General features: G+C 38.9%; 1 long non-coding RNA gene across 2 annotated transcripts, besides 1 other annotated feature; it reads right to left on the reverse strand.

The window, feature by feature from the left end:
• LOC105374792 (uncharacterized) lies at positions 1321 to 7809 on the reverse strand. Of its 2 annotated transcripts, none has more exons than XR_940227.3 (3): positions 7738 to 7809; positions 7222 to 7273; positions 1321 to 1456 (listed from the first exon to the last, which is right to left on the reverse strand). It is a non-coding gene; the product is annotated as an uncharacterized LOC105374792 (long non-coding RNA). The 2 variants fall into 2 exon arrangements; XR_940228.3 differs by lacking the exon at positions 1321 to 1456 and adding an exon at positions 3839 to 4000.
• Positions 1888 to 7263: an enhancer, noted in NCBI's record as "VISTA enhancer hs2511". NCBI's record gives its function as "enhancer in: heart[10/10]" and the evidence as "EXISTENCE:transgenic organism evidence [ECO:0001131][PMID:17130149]".
• Positions 7810 to 17508: the final 9699 nt, after the last annotated feature.

Below are 17508 nucleotides of genomic sequence, written 5' to 3' on the forward strand. Positions count from 1 at the left end.
TCTGATGACTCTCATCTGACCCTAAAAGGTCCAAATGTCTTTACATTCCTACCCCTATTTTGATCTTTCTGGATGCAATTCATTCTATTCTTTTGCACTTATCTCATTATTTTGTATCCTTCTCATTTGGAATGTGTTACGGTTCATTCAGAGTGGATGGGCAGTTTCGTGAGCCAAAGATGTAAAAGGTATGTTTAGATGTTTTAAAAGAACCCATACATGTGGAAAGCAAAATATTAATTACACATTATGCTTTTCCACCCCACTGCAAAATGCTCCAGAACCTCTGATTTGCAAAGTTCTGGGCCAGTTTTTAAAACTAGTTCCATAACTGTACAAACTTAAAGAATCTAACATTGAACTTCATTGGATTCTCAAAGGGATCTGGGATCCAGACATGGTCAGAGCCACTGGACAGCATCCTGATGAATTCTGCTGTTTCCTGTGAGTAGTGCACAGCCCCTGAATAAATGCAACCAATAAAATTATCCTGAATGAAAAGAGGCCAATGAAGTCAGGAGGTCTTTGAACATGACTCTAGGTTCTTGGAACCCTCTCTACCTTGGATCCCACTTCAGAAGCATTACATTACTCCTGCTACCTTCTCAGGACCAGGTGTGATAATAAAAAAAAAATTTAACAAGCTATACGATGGGTTTTGCCCATTTAACTTATATATGAATTGAATCATGTTATATGTTTTCTTCCAAGACTTACTTTTTTGCACTCAACAGGATTTTTCCAATGCACACTTGTTGATGCCTGTAGCTGAGTTCATTGATTTTCACTGAATTGTTGTCAGCTTTATAAATACATAAAAATTTCTTTGTACGTTATACTGTTGATAGAGACTTTGTTTCTTTTTTTCTCATTATTTACAGTACTACAGTGAATAATCTTACTGTTATTTTCTATTTAAGAGATTCTCGGCCAGGTGCGGTGGGTCACGCCTGTAATCTCAGCACTTTGGGAGACCGAGGTGGACGGATCACGAGGTCAGGAGCTCGAGACCAGCCTGACCAACATGGTGAAACCCCGTCTCTACTAAAATACAAAAATTAGCCAGCCATGGTGGCATGTACCTGTAATCCCAGCTACTCAGGAGGCTGAGACAGGAGAATCACTTGAACCCAGGAGGCAGAGGTTGCAGTAAGCCAAGATCACGCCACTGCACTCCAGCCTGTGCTGGCTAATAACCACCATGTTGGACAGTGCAAGTCTAGACTTTATTTAGTAAGAGTAAATATCAGAATAGAATTGCTGGTTGGTAGTCAGAAAAGACTCCAACAATTTTACATAATGCCAAATTGTTTTCGAAAATGGTTTTCCCAATCCTGTGTCTCCCAGCAAGAGTTCGTGTTGTTCCACATCCTTGCCAATGCTTATGCTGATTGACTTTGGGGACTGTAGTTGAGTCTTGGAGGCTCTCTCTTCTGCTCTTCTCTGCCACTCATTCCTGAGAGATGCAACAGAGCATGTAGATTATCACCTTGAGAAAAGGTATAGTTTGGGCTGGGAAACACTGTTTTAGTATTGTGTTGGCTTCCACACCCTATATTAAATGACAGCCCATGTAAAGCATGGTGTCCAAGAGCAAAAAAATTTATTGAAGGACAGGAAAGGAGACTTGCATGAATGTAACAATATTCCAAGTCAATGGATAAGAAGACAATATAATAAAGATGTTAAAAAATCCCCAAATCAATATATAAATTCAATAAAATGTCAATCACAATCCTAACAGGACTTTTCATAGAACTTGAAAAGATGATTCTAAAAGCTATATGAAGGAGCAAAGGATTAAGATTAAGTAAGGGTACTCTTAGAGAAGAATTAAATAGGAGAATTTTCTTACCAATATTAAAATCTATTAAAAATCAGTAATGATCAAGATAGTGTGGCGTTGGTGTAGGAATAGATCAATAGAATAAAAAAGAAGTTGGAAAAGGACTCACATAAATCCAAAAATTGACATAGAATACCTGACATCACATATCAGTAGGAAAAAGATGATTTCATGAAAAATGCAGGGATCATTTATGAGAAATATCAATTGACTACTTTGTACTTTATGCAAAAATCAAATCCAGATAGACTTGGGACTTCATATGAAAGAACAACTTTGAAACTTTGTCTTGGAGAAATCCTAGGAGAAGTGTTTCTTTTGCCTGACAATAAGTACCTCATATACTATCTCCAACCCTAGCGGTTAATAAGGAAATAAATGATTGTCCTATCCCCATTTCCACAAAAAAAAAAAAAAAAAAAAGGGAGAAAAGGACAGCTCACATTAGAAAAAGTAGGTACACTGATATTATCTATCAAATTCCAAAGTAGCAAAAATAATAATATTATTAGCTTCAGAAAAAACTTCAAGAGTTTCTTGAAATAGTGAGTTCCTCAATTACATTTTTTTTTTTTTTTTGAGACAGGGTCTCAGTCTGTCACCCAGGCTGGAGTGCAGCGGCGCTATCTGAGCTCACTGCAACCTCCACCTCCTGGGTTCAGACAATCCTCCCATCTCAGCCTCCCGAGTAGCTGGGACTACAGTCATGTGCCACCACGCCCTGCTAAGTTTTGTACTTTTTGTTAGAGACGGGGTTTCACCATGTTGGCTAGGCTGGTCTCAAACTCCTGACCTCAAGTGATCCGCCCACCTCAGCTTCCCAAAGGTGGGATTACAGGCGTGAGCCACCACACCCAGCTTCTAATTACATTTTAAATCATGATCATTTTACTTACCCTCCTTTCAGAAACACATTTAAAGCACAGAGTGAGGCAACTTTTACATGTTACAGACAAGATTATGATTATATTATCTGTATTTTAAGTAATATATTCATAGTTCTTAAAGCTAACAAAATCTTTTTTGCATGTGCTTCTTAAGAAGTAAATGCTAAAAATGAAAATGCCCACTGACCTAGGATATCCCAGGAGTGGAATCGACTGTCTGTCAGTGTGCTCTTAGAATCACTAGAGGTGTTTGACAGCTGTGCTAAGCAACAACACAGAGTGCAAAGACAAAGAAGTAAACCCAGCCAGGGCACTCTGCCACCACACTGAGATAAGTCAAGCCCTTTAACACCAGAGGCTGCTAAGGGTTTATTCCACACTCTCAGCAAGATAAGCTGCCATTCACACCTCACAAGACACTCAGATCTGGAAAGCAGCCTAGAGGAAAAAGTAAGAGATGCGAATAAGTGCAATTATTTCAGTGAAGAAATTAACAGATTTCACATTGTTTGATTTCACTCCCATGAACAGCCATCAAAAGCCATGTTCCTTGGAAAGCTGGCTTTTCCAGCATGTTCATGTGGACTAGGACAGAGGAATAACCCCAGGGCCCTACACTGAATTGCACCATGTGTCTGCCTTTCACACTCACTGTCTGAGCATCACTGTGTAAGAAGGTATTTGTTTCTCCATTTTACAGATGACACTGAAGTACAAAGGATTAAATGAGTTGCCTCAATTCTCACTGCTGGGGAAACTTGGGGATCCAAATTCACACTCTTGCCACCGCTCTTTCCTAGTTCTCTAAACAGCCTTTGTTAGACTTATAGTCAGTTGGGTTGGACTCTGAGAAGGTGAATAGGGCATGGCATAATCCTTGGCCATATTACGATTATCACATAATTTGGGTGTATTAATGGGCCTCTCTGTGCTAGCTATTAACAGTGGTTTCCCTGAAAGCTGAACGAACCCTCTAAAGTTTTGAGATTTCCTAGGACAGATCCAATTTCAAGTGTTCTGTCCCGTCTTCCCCAGAAGAATAGGCAAAACACGAGTCCCTTTTCTTTTTTCTTCTTCTTTTTTTTCATTAAGAAAATAAGATTACCTTGTCAGTAGAACTCAGCGTACATACATTTCAAAGAAAAAACACACATCCCCTCTTCAAATGATCACCCCCAGGACAGTGTCTGGAGAGCTGGAAGGTCAAGGCAAACCACACTCATGGTATTGAACTTGGAAAGTAACTACTACATGATGATGAATATACCTGAAAGGAAAAGAAATGTGGTTTTATAAAAAAGATTCATCTCAGCCAAATCAGTCTGCAAATGTCTGCGTCACAGTCAGACTGTAAGCCATGTGGAAGGTTACAGGAGTAACCCCTTCCTCCCCAGTTTCATGACCCACTAAGTCAAACCCTATAACTTAGAATTATCAACTTTCAAATATGAAAGGACTATCAGAGTTCAGCCAGGCTGGCCTTTGACACGCTGCAGGAAGAGGGAAGGAAGGAGGGAGAAATAACTGGGGACCTGTCTTATCAATGGGCAGCCGGTTTTCAGCTGACTTTCACTTGACAAGTTCAGAAAGTTGCATGCCAAAAGGGTTTCTTGGAGAAGATCTTCTGCATCAGAGTGATAGCTTAAGTGTGTCATGACAGCCCTGTTGCTGGGCATCATACATTTCTTTGTGAAATCAGTGTCTACATGTGACCCATCTTCCTTAAATGCCACGCATAGAAGAAAGGGAAAAAAACGTGAAGCCATGGGCCACGTTCAGCTTTAGGTAATGTTGGTAAATCTGTTTGCGGAAACAGCCTTCTGGTTCCTAAAAAGAAAGAGATGGTCACTTTTGCCTTAAAAGGCTAAGTTATACCCCAAGAAAATCTCTTTTTCTTTCTTCCCTTCAATGGGAAAAGGTCAGATTACAAGAGTCATGTCCCATTCTAATTATATGATGTCATAAGACTGCAATTTTGCTTAAGCAAGCCTTACAAAGCATTGTGAATATATGGCTGGAAAATGACAAAGTGAATTTTAGATAAGTGCCTTCAATTAAGCTTGTTCTGGTGCAATTTACATTGTGTGGAAGTCCAGGGAACCAAAGCCGTTTATGTGGTCCTACACATGCCCTCCAAAATTAGTGAATTATCTGTCAGGGCTATGTGTTTAGGACTCATTGGTTAATTATCCCTGGGGATTTTGTGCAGCTGGGATTGATAACAGCACCTAAAAGGGATTCTAGTGAAGGACAATAACAGAATTCTTTAAATAGCCAACCAGACAGTTAAATGGAACTTGGGTAGCTGAATTCTCAGAAAATGTAGGGCTTTTTTTTCCAGAAGATTTTTGCAGTTACCTTGATTCTATTGTACCATTCTTGCCACACAGCAATCATCAGCCTAGCTAAGATAAAACACCCAAGTGAACTTTGTAATAAAGTCAAATGACCAAATCTGTGATAAAAAGAATTCCAAAATCTGCATCCCCAAGCTGTTATTCCAGGCACAAGAATGGTCATTCTCTGTTGCATGGTTGACATACTTCTGAGTTTTATCAGCTTCCCTGAGATAAGGTTAGAATGTCCGTCTTCTCAAATACCATGGACAACTTAAGGGCGGGGGCTGTGTTCCATTCATGTATCCCTGCAAACTAGCTTAAGGCTTGAGACATAGCACATGCTCAATGAATCAATAAACAAAAGTGCACATTTGCGAATGGCACTATGGCATATTCATCTGCTTTCAGTTTTACAAGGTACTCCACAGAGAATTAAGCTTAAATATAACCAAGGGAATCTACATTTAAATACAGGATATTAACCTTCCTAAATGTCACAATCTTCCCCAAAACTGCAGGTGCATTCTCATCCCTAAAGGAACTTGCATCTCTTGCCTCTTGCCATCCATCTTCTGCCCCACTCCACACCCACTCACCGTCCTCCCTTTGAAAATATCAAGGTTCTCTCTCTGGCTATTTCTCTTTGGGACAGTGGGAAATGCTGGCCAGGGCTCGACCCATGGGAATCCTGGTCCTCCAAGTGGCTGATGAAACAAAGACGGTCAGGGCATCCTTCAGCTAAGAAGGCTCATCCCTCCCCCATCCCAATTGTCCTGCCCCAAAGCCCTCAAGAGGAACTTATTTGTACTGTTTCTTTTTTTCTACTGTGCTTACTTTAAAATTGTCTTTCTTATTAAATGGATTGGAGTATTATCCTAGAGAAAAGAAATAAGTAAACAGCTGCTGTCCTTGGGTTCTGCACCTTGAACCTGCTTACAGCCAAAGCAAAAGTCTATTTCCTCATCAGGAGACCACATTAGGTTTGGGGCAAAATCCTCAGAGAAATAAAATGACTTTTTCTGGAGTGTCCCCCTTCTACATAAATGTTGTTCTCTGGAACTTGTGGTGGTGATGTCAGACAGCTCTGAGAGGAGCCAGGAATCTTGAGCCCCAGCCAGGGGCAACTTATCATGGCTAATAATTCATCCTTCACCACCACTAGAACAAATGTTTATTAAGCACCTACCCTGTGTAATGCACAGTGGCACTAGGCTAGCAAGGAAGTGTGTGCAATACTAACCAAAATAACAATAAAAAGCTACCATTTATTCAACTCCTACTCTGTGCCAGGCACTGAGCCCCATTGTTTATGGTCATTATTTCAGCTAATTCTCCCCTAAACCCTATGACATAGGTGCTATCATCATCTCTGTTTTACAAATGAGGGTGCTGGTCAGAGAGCCAGGAAGAGGAAGATCCAAGATTGACAACAGCTCTGTTCAATCCCTAAGCCCAGTCTTTCAGTTAAACACACTCTACTTCCCCAAGAGGGACTAATTTGATAGAGTGAAGACATGGCAGAGAGAATACAGTTGGGGGAAAAGGATAAGGCAGAAGAAGGGGAGCACCTTTGTCTGTAATTGTAGGAGAGAGGAAAAGATAGATGAAGTGGTAGAGGAAGAAGTTGAGAAACATCATTCTTAATATTCTCAATTTCCTCTGTGAATTAAAAGGCAAAGTCATTTGGTTAAAAAAACAAGTGCCCAGCCTGGACAACATAGTGAGACTGTCTCCGCTCCCACACCCCCCCAACACACACAGGCACACACACACACACACACAAATTAGCCAGGAACCTGAGGTCCCAGCTACTTGAGAGGCTGAGGTGGGAGGATTGCTTGGGCACAGGAGGTTGAGGCTGCTGTGAGCCATGACTGCGCCACTGCACTCCAGCCAAGAAGACAGTGAGACCTTGCAACAAAACAAAACAAAGCAAAAAAAAAAAAAAAAAAAAAGAAAGTGCAAGAATGGGGTAGAGGTAAAAATAATAAGGATGATAATTATAGTAATGATAGCAGCAAACGTAAATTGCTATGTGCCTAAAAATGCAATTTTAATTCTCACAATTCAATAAGTCAAACAGTATTTCACACCTAAGGAAACCGAGGCTCAAAGAAATAAAATAATATGCACATTGTAGAACACTTACTAAATAGTAGATCTGGGATTTTAACCCAGGAAGTCTGACTCCAGAGGCCAGCCTGCTAAGGAGAAAGTGAGTAAATGGATTAGAAATGTGTAAAAACATAGCTTTTAATTTATTTTCATTTAAATTATAAAAATTTGAAAAGTGGTGGTCTAAGAGGTGGTTGGAGGAAATTTTTGGCTTAGCATGTTTGAACTGAAAATGGAACAGCTAGGTCAATATGTGAAGGAGATAAACATGCTGAAACTAAATTTCAAGAGAGAAATTAGGTATAGAGTTTTAATAGTAACAATATACCATATATATTTATACTTTATTATTAGCACCAAAATTTTTACTTAGTGATACAATTCAAGACATGTATAAATCCCAATATTTATAAATAGTACTAAAACATATCATTTCCCCTTTAAAATTCAATAAAATATTGCATAAATTTCAAGCAACTCCTTAAGAATCTTAACCAGTCTATACAAGTAGGACTAGAGTCATTTCCATAATTATTGAAGTCAATCCTACTTTGAATTTCAGCAACACTGAAGAAATATTGTAAAGCTCGGTAGCAAAATAAACTGTGCCTGAAGGATCAAAGGGATGATGGCAAGTGCTGTGAGCTGCTCGTCCATAAGCTGAGCTTCCGAATGAAGAAAATAGATGGTCTGTAGCACCGGAAGCGGTCAAGTTCCCAGATGACAAGGTCCTCACAGTGAGTTAAATGGTGAGAAGAGGGGGAGGACAACTGGGAAGGAGGCTACCAAGGACCAGAGAGAGGGGCCTTGGAGAGACAGTGGTTCTTGCAGGGAAAATGTAAAGATTGGCCCCTGCTTTATTTCCTTTGCTACTTGCTACTCTTTTCTTGGTACAGAGCCAACGAGAGATCAATTTCTCTGTAGAAAAGAGTTCTTTTGTCGCTGAATTTTTACTGTAGAAGATGCCAGGCTCCAGTGTCACACACTCAAGAGTTTTTCTAGATTAATGAATGTCTCAGGTTCCTTGGCCAAATGTTTTAACATTATCTCTCCTCTTTTTTAACCGGTACTGCTCAGACTTCTTCCATCTGTTCCTCTCTAGGACCCTCCGTCAACCCTGTCCCATCATCGACCAAGCCCGTAAACTCTCTTACTGTGCACACACAGTCCACTTGTTTCCATATTCCAAGGAAGGTAACTTCATCCACAGGGTTCTCAACAAGCTGTCAATCTTTGGGGGGTCTCCTTTACAGCAACTTCAATACTTATTATCCAGGCAGCAAAGTGGTGTTCCCACTTCAGCTGTGAATGGAATCTGTAGAGAAATCTCTATTCTTTTTATTCTCAGGAAAATTTTTTTAAACTTTGAATATTTATCTTTTCACCTTCATAACCCAAAAATATCATTTAAAATGTACTGCCAGAATCAGACACAATCTAACCTAGGGTTTCTACTCTTCAGAGTGTTACCCTGTGTTCAGAAAACTTGAACATTGCTCTGATTAGGTGGTTTTTCTTAACCCCTCAAAAACTGTATTTTTGTCATCTGTGAAGTGGGGATAACAGTGGTTGGCATAAAAGCCTTAGTTCTAATAATTGTTATTATGAATGTGCACATCTATTCAGCTCCAGGCTTTTAAATTGTTTATTCTCCCTTTTAAATGGCATCTTGTTTTAAAAGTTAGTATCTTCTGTGTCTTTTATCATGTACTAATCTGTAAGTGATTCAGGTGCTCTTGAAAACTGCTTAGAAAAAGTTGTTTAAACAATTAAATGAATACATAGCTAATTCTTATTTAATGAAAGAATTCCATTCATTAGAATATGTCAATTGATTTATGTCGGCTAATGTAGCTATTAGAAAATGCCATACAACTTTTGACTTCTGGGTACTCATTTGTTAGCCAGCTGTTTGGAACTCAGAACACATTTTCTCATTATGTGATTATGTTGGTTGTTGGATTCTCAGGCAAGTTCATAAAAGTATATTTTAACCACAATGAGGTAGAAGCATACAATACCAATGCCACTATGGAATATAACAGCTAGAAACTAACAGAGATTGCTGAGTATCAATTAAGGTTGTATATTTGAAACATGCTGAGTATCCAAGAGTTTATATAGAAATTGTAAACATCATTTAAATATCATTATTAAATATTATAAATAAAGCTTATTATATTTTCTAAAGAAAAAGAATACACTCTAGAAGAGAAGGTCGAATCCTGAACTCCAACTAAATCCCCATTCCTTTTGCACCTGTGTTTGCCAAAGGAAAACAGTATAAAATAAGGTTAACAAAAAACTGCAGCTTGCAAAAGCAGGAGAAATCTGAGATATCCTGCAGCCTGTCCTCTCACGGATATGTGGATGTGAATGAAATGACCATACTCAACAGAGACAAAGTAAAGGAGAAAGAGTATGGGAATTTACAACCTTGATAATATGGGATTATGAATAGTTTATTTGCTATGTCTTCTCTTCCTCCTATTCTTCTTTCCTTTCTCCTTTTCTTTCTCCTTTCTTCCCTTATGTTCTTCCTTCCACCTTCCCTCCCTCCCTTTCTAAATATATGCTTGGAGTGCTTCAGGTTGTTAACTTAAAATATATGTTACATGTTTTATATGTTTAATATATATATGTATATATTATACACACACACACACACATATGGAAAGAAATCTTGGTTAGTACACTACTCTTTGAAGAGTTTATGTTCATGCCATCTGACCCTCACAGTAATTAAAAGAATAGGTGAGGCAGGCGAAAATCATCCTTTATATAAATTGGGAAACCAAAACCCCAAATGGTGAAATGATTCTTCCCAGATAACAACCTTGTCAAATACCCCTTCCAGTTGTCATGAGAATTGGGGCTGAGGTCTCACAATTAAACTAGGTCTAAGGTAAAGCGAATGAGGAAATAGGCAAGGGATTATTTTCAAGTGGAAAACATGCTGGGTAGCATCAGTACATTAAACTTAGTAGGTTTGTTAATGGTTTTAGTAATTTCAGAGACAATGCAGATTTTAATATTCTATAGAATTTTTGCTGACAGTATTTTTAAAATTAAAATCAATAGGCAAAATGAGACACCCAAACACCCAATCTCTCTCATATTAATGACACCTGACTCTTCCCTATACTACTCCACAAATATTTCTTAAGTTCCATATATACCGCCAAATAAGATGATTCCCTCATTTCCCAAATAAAAAATTCAAAAAGAGATAGATTTTGGGGGAATTTTGTATATATGCCTTTTAAGGATGTAGATGGAAGAGTCAAACGTTTACCTATTTTATTTAATAATTTTACTACATATATATTTTTAATGTTATATAAAATAAAATAAAAAACTAGAATTTTTCCACTTTCACATTTTCTTTTAAAATTGCCTTTAAACTCTCCAAGTGAATCTCAAGAGTGTCATCATTTGAGCCATTTTTTCAGTCATTTAGTTTAGCTTCTAGACTTTATCCTCTTGTAATTGTAACATAAGACTTTGTAAGACCTTAAATATAAAATGACTTCTCTTGTCTGCAGTAGAATTTTGGGGGAAATCCTTGCCTTTCTGTGGTAGAACTTTGGGGGAAATCCTTGGGTCTGTATAACAGATGAAGAGCTTTGTGCTCTGTGACTCCAGGACAGAGTATTTCCCCTTGGGTTAAACAGTCCAGTCTCTGACCGTCCCAGGGAATGGGGCTGCCTACATGCAACACTGGGAAAGCTGGAGAACTTCAGGTCAGGATGGAAAGCTGTCAATGAGATGAGGTATCAACCTGCAGATACATATTCGAGACATCGCTTTACAAGGCCAGAAACCAGGCCTTGCTTCAGTATATGGCCATGGTTCCCTTGCTAGCTGCTTTCTGGCAGTGGTGATAAGATTCCACAGAGTATCTGCTTGAAATGTTACACATTTATTCATCATCATCATTTCAGAACCTTTTTTCAGAGCAGTTGACATTTAGACCTCTGAATGAGGATTATTTTGGAATGGGCCATGTATGGGGAAAAATGTGGATGATGATGGCTGTTCCAGAGATGGCAGAAATGAAGATCTCAGATTGGAAACTAATTTTAGTCATGCTGCACATGCTCATCCCCTGTCACGCTCCTCTATATCTCGCCTCTCACCGAATGGTCTGCTCATGCTGCAGGCAGTGCCCGATAGCATTTATGGGCATCTTCATGATGCTCTTCCCAAAATGTTTTGTAAAAACTTAGCATTGCTCTTTGATACCAATGACTTATGAGAACGACTTGTATCATTCCATTGCCCAAAGAGCATCGACAGATGTCAGGATACTGAAATAGCTGCAGAAGCCGCTGCCAGCACACATTTTGCAAGCAAAATTTGCAGGGTGGCAGATTACAATGACAGAACTTTGGGGAGGAGTATTCATCACAAGATGGAATCAAGTGGTTCACACGTTGGCATTTTCCCAGTTGGTGATTGTTAGTAAATTCAGAGGCATCCTACCAGGCAGATTGCCTCTGCCCAAAGACAGCCTGAATCACCGACACAATAGCATTCTGACGGGAGTGTATTAGGGCAGGACCCACTCATATTTCATATACATGTCTTCTCCTGATGTTTCATATTGCTATTCAATTTTCATGAGTTTATATCTTATCTCCTAATTGGTTTATGATTGGAAATCTAGGACTTGTTTGGGCCACCATTGGAAAGACAGGAGCTTAATGTGGAAATGAGATTCTTGTCCAACAGGTTGAAGATTCTTGACAGGAATCAGAGATAACTGACAAAAGGGGTGGAGATGGGGCCTGCTGGGAGATGTTACTGCTTGAGGAAGATTGTTCTGTACCCTTTGGAATACAAGAAAAGATATGGAAAGGATTTCCTTGGGCTTTTATTAGCATTAACCATTCCTTTCTCTGCTTTCTTGCTCATGTATTCTGCTAACACTTATTAAGCATACACTCTGTGCTAGAAACTTGAATAAGGACTTCTTTGTAGCCCTTATTTTCTCTCCAACTCCTTTAATGTTTTATTTAATACAATATTTAAGAGCACAGTATTTTTGCATCACACAAACCTTTTGATGTATCACACAATAAGACCACTTATTGACAATATCAACTCAAACAGATGACTGAATCTTTCTGAGACTCTGTTTTCCAAAAAATGGAGATCAGAATATTTCCTACCTCATGGGATTGTTGTGAGACCAAATCAAATAGTGATTATAACATATTTTAGGTCCAATTGCTGATAAATTGTAAGCAATTGCTATCATTATTTAGTGCAAGTTTTTTTATTGGACTGAAACTTTTGGATGTCAAAAATGGTAGAATATTGATAACTTCACATGGATCAACTTAATATATGCTTTGTTTTCTAGATGGGTTTATGTTGGTTGTCATCATAAATCTTCTTTATAGTGTAAATGAGAAAAGAACCATGGTGTCCAAAGACTGGAACCAAGCCTCCACATTATAAGTTTATGAAAGCCAGGATTATACTTTGTGTAATTGAGCACTAAACTTGAGGCTCTCTACATAGAAGATGGTAAATGAATATTAGAATAATGAATTCATATGTTTGAGATATTTGGACTTTAGGAAATAGGCAACTATTTTTAATCACTTGATTTTCATTGGCCATAAAATTTCATTTCTGATACCTAAGAGCAAGTTGACACAATCACTTTAAAAACATGAATAGTAAATATTTATGAGCTGGCCTGGTTGAGTTTGGGAACTAGATCTGTCATATACAAACCATCTGACTTCAAATCAGTGATTCTTGATGAAAAACAAGGCTGTGAAAATCATAACATGACAATGGTTAAGGGTGAGGGTTTCATTTATATCTCTGCCTCTCTTCAAAAGATGAAAAGATATCTCAGATTAGAAATAAAAGGAGCTAGAAGGTACAAAGCTCTCTTTCCAGTTAGGGATGAGAGCACCATCAGAAGTGAAAGGAAGCTTGGGATCCCCATACTTCAACCCATACACTAAGCAGCATTACTACCAGGTCTGAAAACCACCCTTAATTGTAGATGTGACTCTGCTCCCTGGTTTTGGTCCAGAAAAGATAGTGACGTGATAGTCGTTTTGGTGCATGATCATTGGATGGGCTCTCTGGCAAAGTCTACTGAAAACCAAACTTGATTGCTGTAAATTTGAATGTAAAACATAAATTAGGAGAACGTTTGCAAATCTATAGAGACCAAAAGTAGATTGGAGGTTGCCAGCGGGATGCTGGAGGGGGAGGTGGGACAGGGGTTGATTGCTAAGTGGTATGAGGTTTCTTTTTGTAGTAATGAAAATGTTCTAAAATTGACTATGATGATGGTTGCACAACCCTGGAAATATACTAAAAGTCATCAAATTATACATTTTAATGGTGTGTTGTAGGGTGTGCAAATTATTTCTCAATTAAGATTTTAAAAATAACAGAAGAAAAAATTCATTTTGAAAACCTTTAATCCTTCCATGAATATATATAACTTCTTTAAGCACTTCGATGTGTAATATTCCAGACTTTTTCCTGTGCTTTGGGAGCTGTTTAGTCAACTACTTTTTAAACTTACCGATATAACCCAAATATCTTTTTATGCCAATGTACATTTATGTAATCTTTATTAAACTGTTGTATAACATTCCAGTTATTTGCATATCCCTAGACTTGCTTAGTGAATCTCTTATTGTTAAATATTCAAATTGCTTCTTTTTATTATTAAAATACTCCTTTGTATCTACAAGAAGAAAAATTAGCAGGGAGAATCCCTGAAAAACGGACTGAATTAACTAAAAACACTGTCAGTGGCGCAAGAGTTGACCTTCTCCTTCCATTAAAATAAAGGTTTGCACTGTGTAAATAGTCTGTTTGACACATAAACACCTACTGTGTCCCAGGTTCTGCACTTTGTGCTGGGGATTCTACAAATGACAGAAATTATCTATCCTTAGTTCAGGCCTGAATTATCACTTCATGGGCAATATTCCTAACTCTTTTTAGGTAATAATTCCAGATAATACTGTATCATAAACTAGACAGTGAATTTTCTAAGGTGTATTTTACTGTCATAACCTAAGCACAGAATCCAAGAATATTAGTGCTGACAGATCATTTATTGAAGCCCTGCATCCTTTTGTTGTCAATGAAAAACCTTAGGCCTGAAGATGTTTAATAACTTTTCCCAGGCGACATAGTCAGAATCTAACAGAACTAAGATTTGAACCCAACTCTCGGTGAGTCCACAGCATTTCCACCATACCACACTAGCATCCAACAGCAAATCTCTCTGTAACACCTTCCTTGCATCTGCCCCACTCCAAAACCCCTTCCCAACCAGCTTGTGGTGTGAGCTCAGCGGAAAAAAATTCTCATTTTTCCACTAGTTATAATTAGGAGTTTTAAGAAATCAATTAACACTAAGGAGTGAATGAGAGTAGGTTTAATCCTCCAAGGAACATGTGTGTTTTAAAAGACAGGAAGTCCATAATAATAACTATTTTTGCATATTTGTAGCTCTTTGCCTTTTACAAGCCATTTCATATTGGAGTTGCACGATAGTAGGATATTAACTGTACAGATGGAGACACTAAGTCTCACGGTGAGACTTCTTTTCCCTAGAGAGAACCAGTAAGTGGCAAAGCTGGGATAGACACCCAGATCTTTGGTCATAAATCTGGAGATCTTTCCAATAATAAATTATCCAATTAAATGGATGGGATGCCTGTCAGGGTATTTTTGGTAAGTGTAAATTATCCCTTCCTCCTTCCAGAATAGGAGTCAACCAGTTGGCTCTTCTGCCAATTTGCTGCCCCTGTCACCACCACTGTGAAGCTGAAGAATCTGGGCTCCTGTGACTGCTGTCTTACATGTTCCCTCATTTCCAAGGGGATGGGCTCTTTATAAACTCCATAAATGAATACAAGAGGCGTTGTCCCCTTTTAGCTTATTAAAACCCAGTTTTAGAAAAGGCCAGGTCAAAAGATTAAAGGGAAATAGATATGAAATGTTAGAAAATGGAAGCAAGCCCTTCTAATCCCCTCCACATTCTTCCCCACGACCCTGTCCCCCACTTGCTACCCAGGGAAGGATCACACCCTTTCGATCACAGCAAATCAGCCACCCTGACACGTCCTGAGATCTGCTTCTCCTTCCAGCCTTTCAGCACCCAATATTGGACACACATTCCTTTAGAGCCTGTGGCGGCCGCTGCCTCGTGCGACAAGTGGCCGCGCATTGCAGATGCACACCACAGTCCACCAAGCGTGGTGGAACGGGTTATCTCAGATCAAATTCCTGCGGCAGCCACTTCCTCTCCTTATCTGGGAATCGGGGATTTTTATGAGGGGGGGTGGATGTAAGCCCTTCCAGTGCACCAGCTGTCCTAATAAGCATGACTTCTTGGCAATGCAATCTGAGAGTGAGCTCTAATGTGTGCTAAGGGGGTATGCTTCCAAAGAGGAAGACTTGACAAGCAGAAACCCACTCAGTCATGCATTCGTTCACCCACAAAGGCCTATTCGATGCCCATATTTGCCAGACCTGGACTGGCACATTGGAGACCATGAGTGAGGCCTGATCTTTGCCCTGAAGGAAAGCAAGATGAACTATGTGAAGAATGTACAGAGTGCTGTGGGAATGAGCTATCCAACTCTAAGAAGAGCCAGGGATTACCAGGGTTGACTCGAAAGAGGGCTGACACTCAGCAGGTGAATGATTTGTCCCATGGCCCTCCATGAATGGGTTATGCAGCCAAGATTAGAACCCCGAGCTGATTCCCATACTCCCCACTGTCCGAACTCCCCACTATCCCCACTGTGAGTCTGAAGGATGAGGAACAAATCACAAAGAGAGATTTTCACAGGGTTCTTATTCACAGATTGCTTCTGTCATTTTTTTTCCATCAGTTATTGGGGTACAGGTGGTATTTGGTTACATGAGTAACTTCTTTAGTGGTGATTTGTGAGATTTTGGTGTACCCATCACCTGAGCAGTATACACTGCACCATATTTGTGGTCTTTTATCCCCTACCCCCGTCCCACTCTTTCCCCCACGTCCCCAAAGTCCATTGTGTCATTCTTATGCCTTTGCGTCCTCATAGCTTAGCTCCCACATAACAATGAGATCATCCGATGTTTGGTTTTCCATTCCTGAGTTACTTCACTTAGAATAATAGTCTCCAATCTCATCCAGGTCAGTGCAAATGCTGTTAATTCATTCCTTTTTATGGCTACATAGTATTCCATCATATATATATATATATATATATATATATATATCTCACAGTTTCTTTATCACTCGTTGATTGATGGACATTTGGGTTGGTTCCACAATTTTGCAGTTGTGAATGTGCCGCTATAAACATGCATGTGCCAGTATCTTTTTCTAATAATGACTTCTTTTCCTCTGGGTAGATACCCAGTAGTGGGATTGCTGGATCAAATGGTAGACCTACTTTTAGTTCTTTAAGGAATCTCCACACTGTTTTCCCTAGTGACTGTACTAGTTTACATTTCCACCAGCAGTGTAGAAGTGTTCCCTGTTCACTACATCCATGCCAACATCTATTGTTTTTTTTTATTATTATTATTACGGCCATTCTTGCAGGAGTAAGATAGTATCACATTGTGGTTTTGATTTGCATTCCCTGATCATTAGTGATGTTGAGCATTTTTTATGTTTGTTGGCCATTTGTGTATCTTCTTTTCAGAATAGTCTATTCATGTCCTTAGTCCACTTTTCGATGGGGTTGTTTGTTTATTTCTTACTGTTTGTTTGAGTTCATTGTAGATTCTGGATATTAATCCTTTGTCAGATGTATAGATGAAGATTTTCTCCCACTCTGTGGGTTGTCTATTTACTCTGCTGACTGTTCCTTTTGCTATGCAAAAGCAATTAATTAATTAATTAATTAATTAGGTCCCAGCTTTTTATCTTTGTTTTTATTGTACTTGCTTTTGTGTTCTTGGTCATGAAATCCTTGCCTAAGCCAATGTCTAGAAAGGTTTTTCCAATGCTATCTTCTAGAATTTTTATAGTTTCAGATTTTAGGTTTAAGTCCTTAATCCGTCTTCAGTTGATTTTTGTATAATGTAAGAGATGAGGATCCAGTTTCATTCTCCTACATGTGGCTAGCCAATTATCCTAGCACTATTTGTTGAAAAGGGTGTCCTTTCTCCACTTTACGTTTTTGTTTGCTTTGTCAAGGATCAGTTGGCTATAAGCATTTCGGTTTATTTCTGGGTTCTCTATTATGTTCCATTGATCTATGTGCCTATTTTTATACCAGTACCATGCTGTTTTGGTGACTATGGCCTAATAGTATAATTTGAA

The sequence above is a fragment of the Homo sapiens genome, chromosome 2 (genome assembly GCF_000001405.40).
Source record: "Homo sapiens chromosome 2, GRCh38.p14 Primary Assembly".
Lineage (NCBI taxonomy): Eukaryota > Metazoa > Chordata > Mammalia > Primates > Hominidae > Homo > Homo sapiens.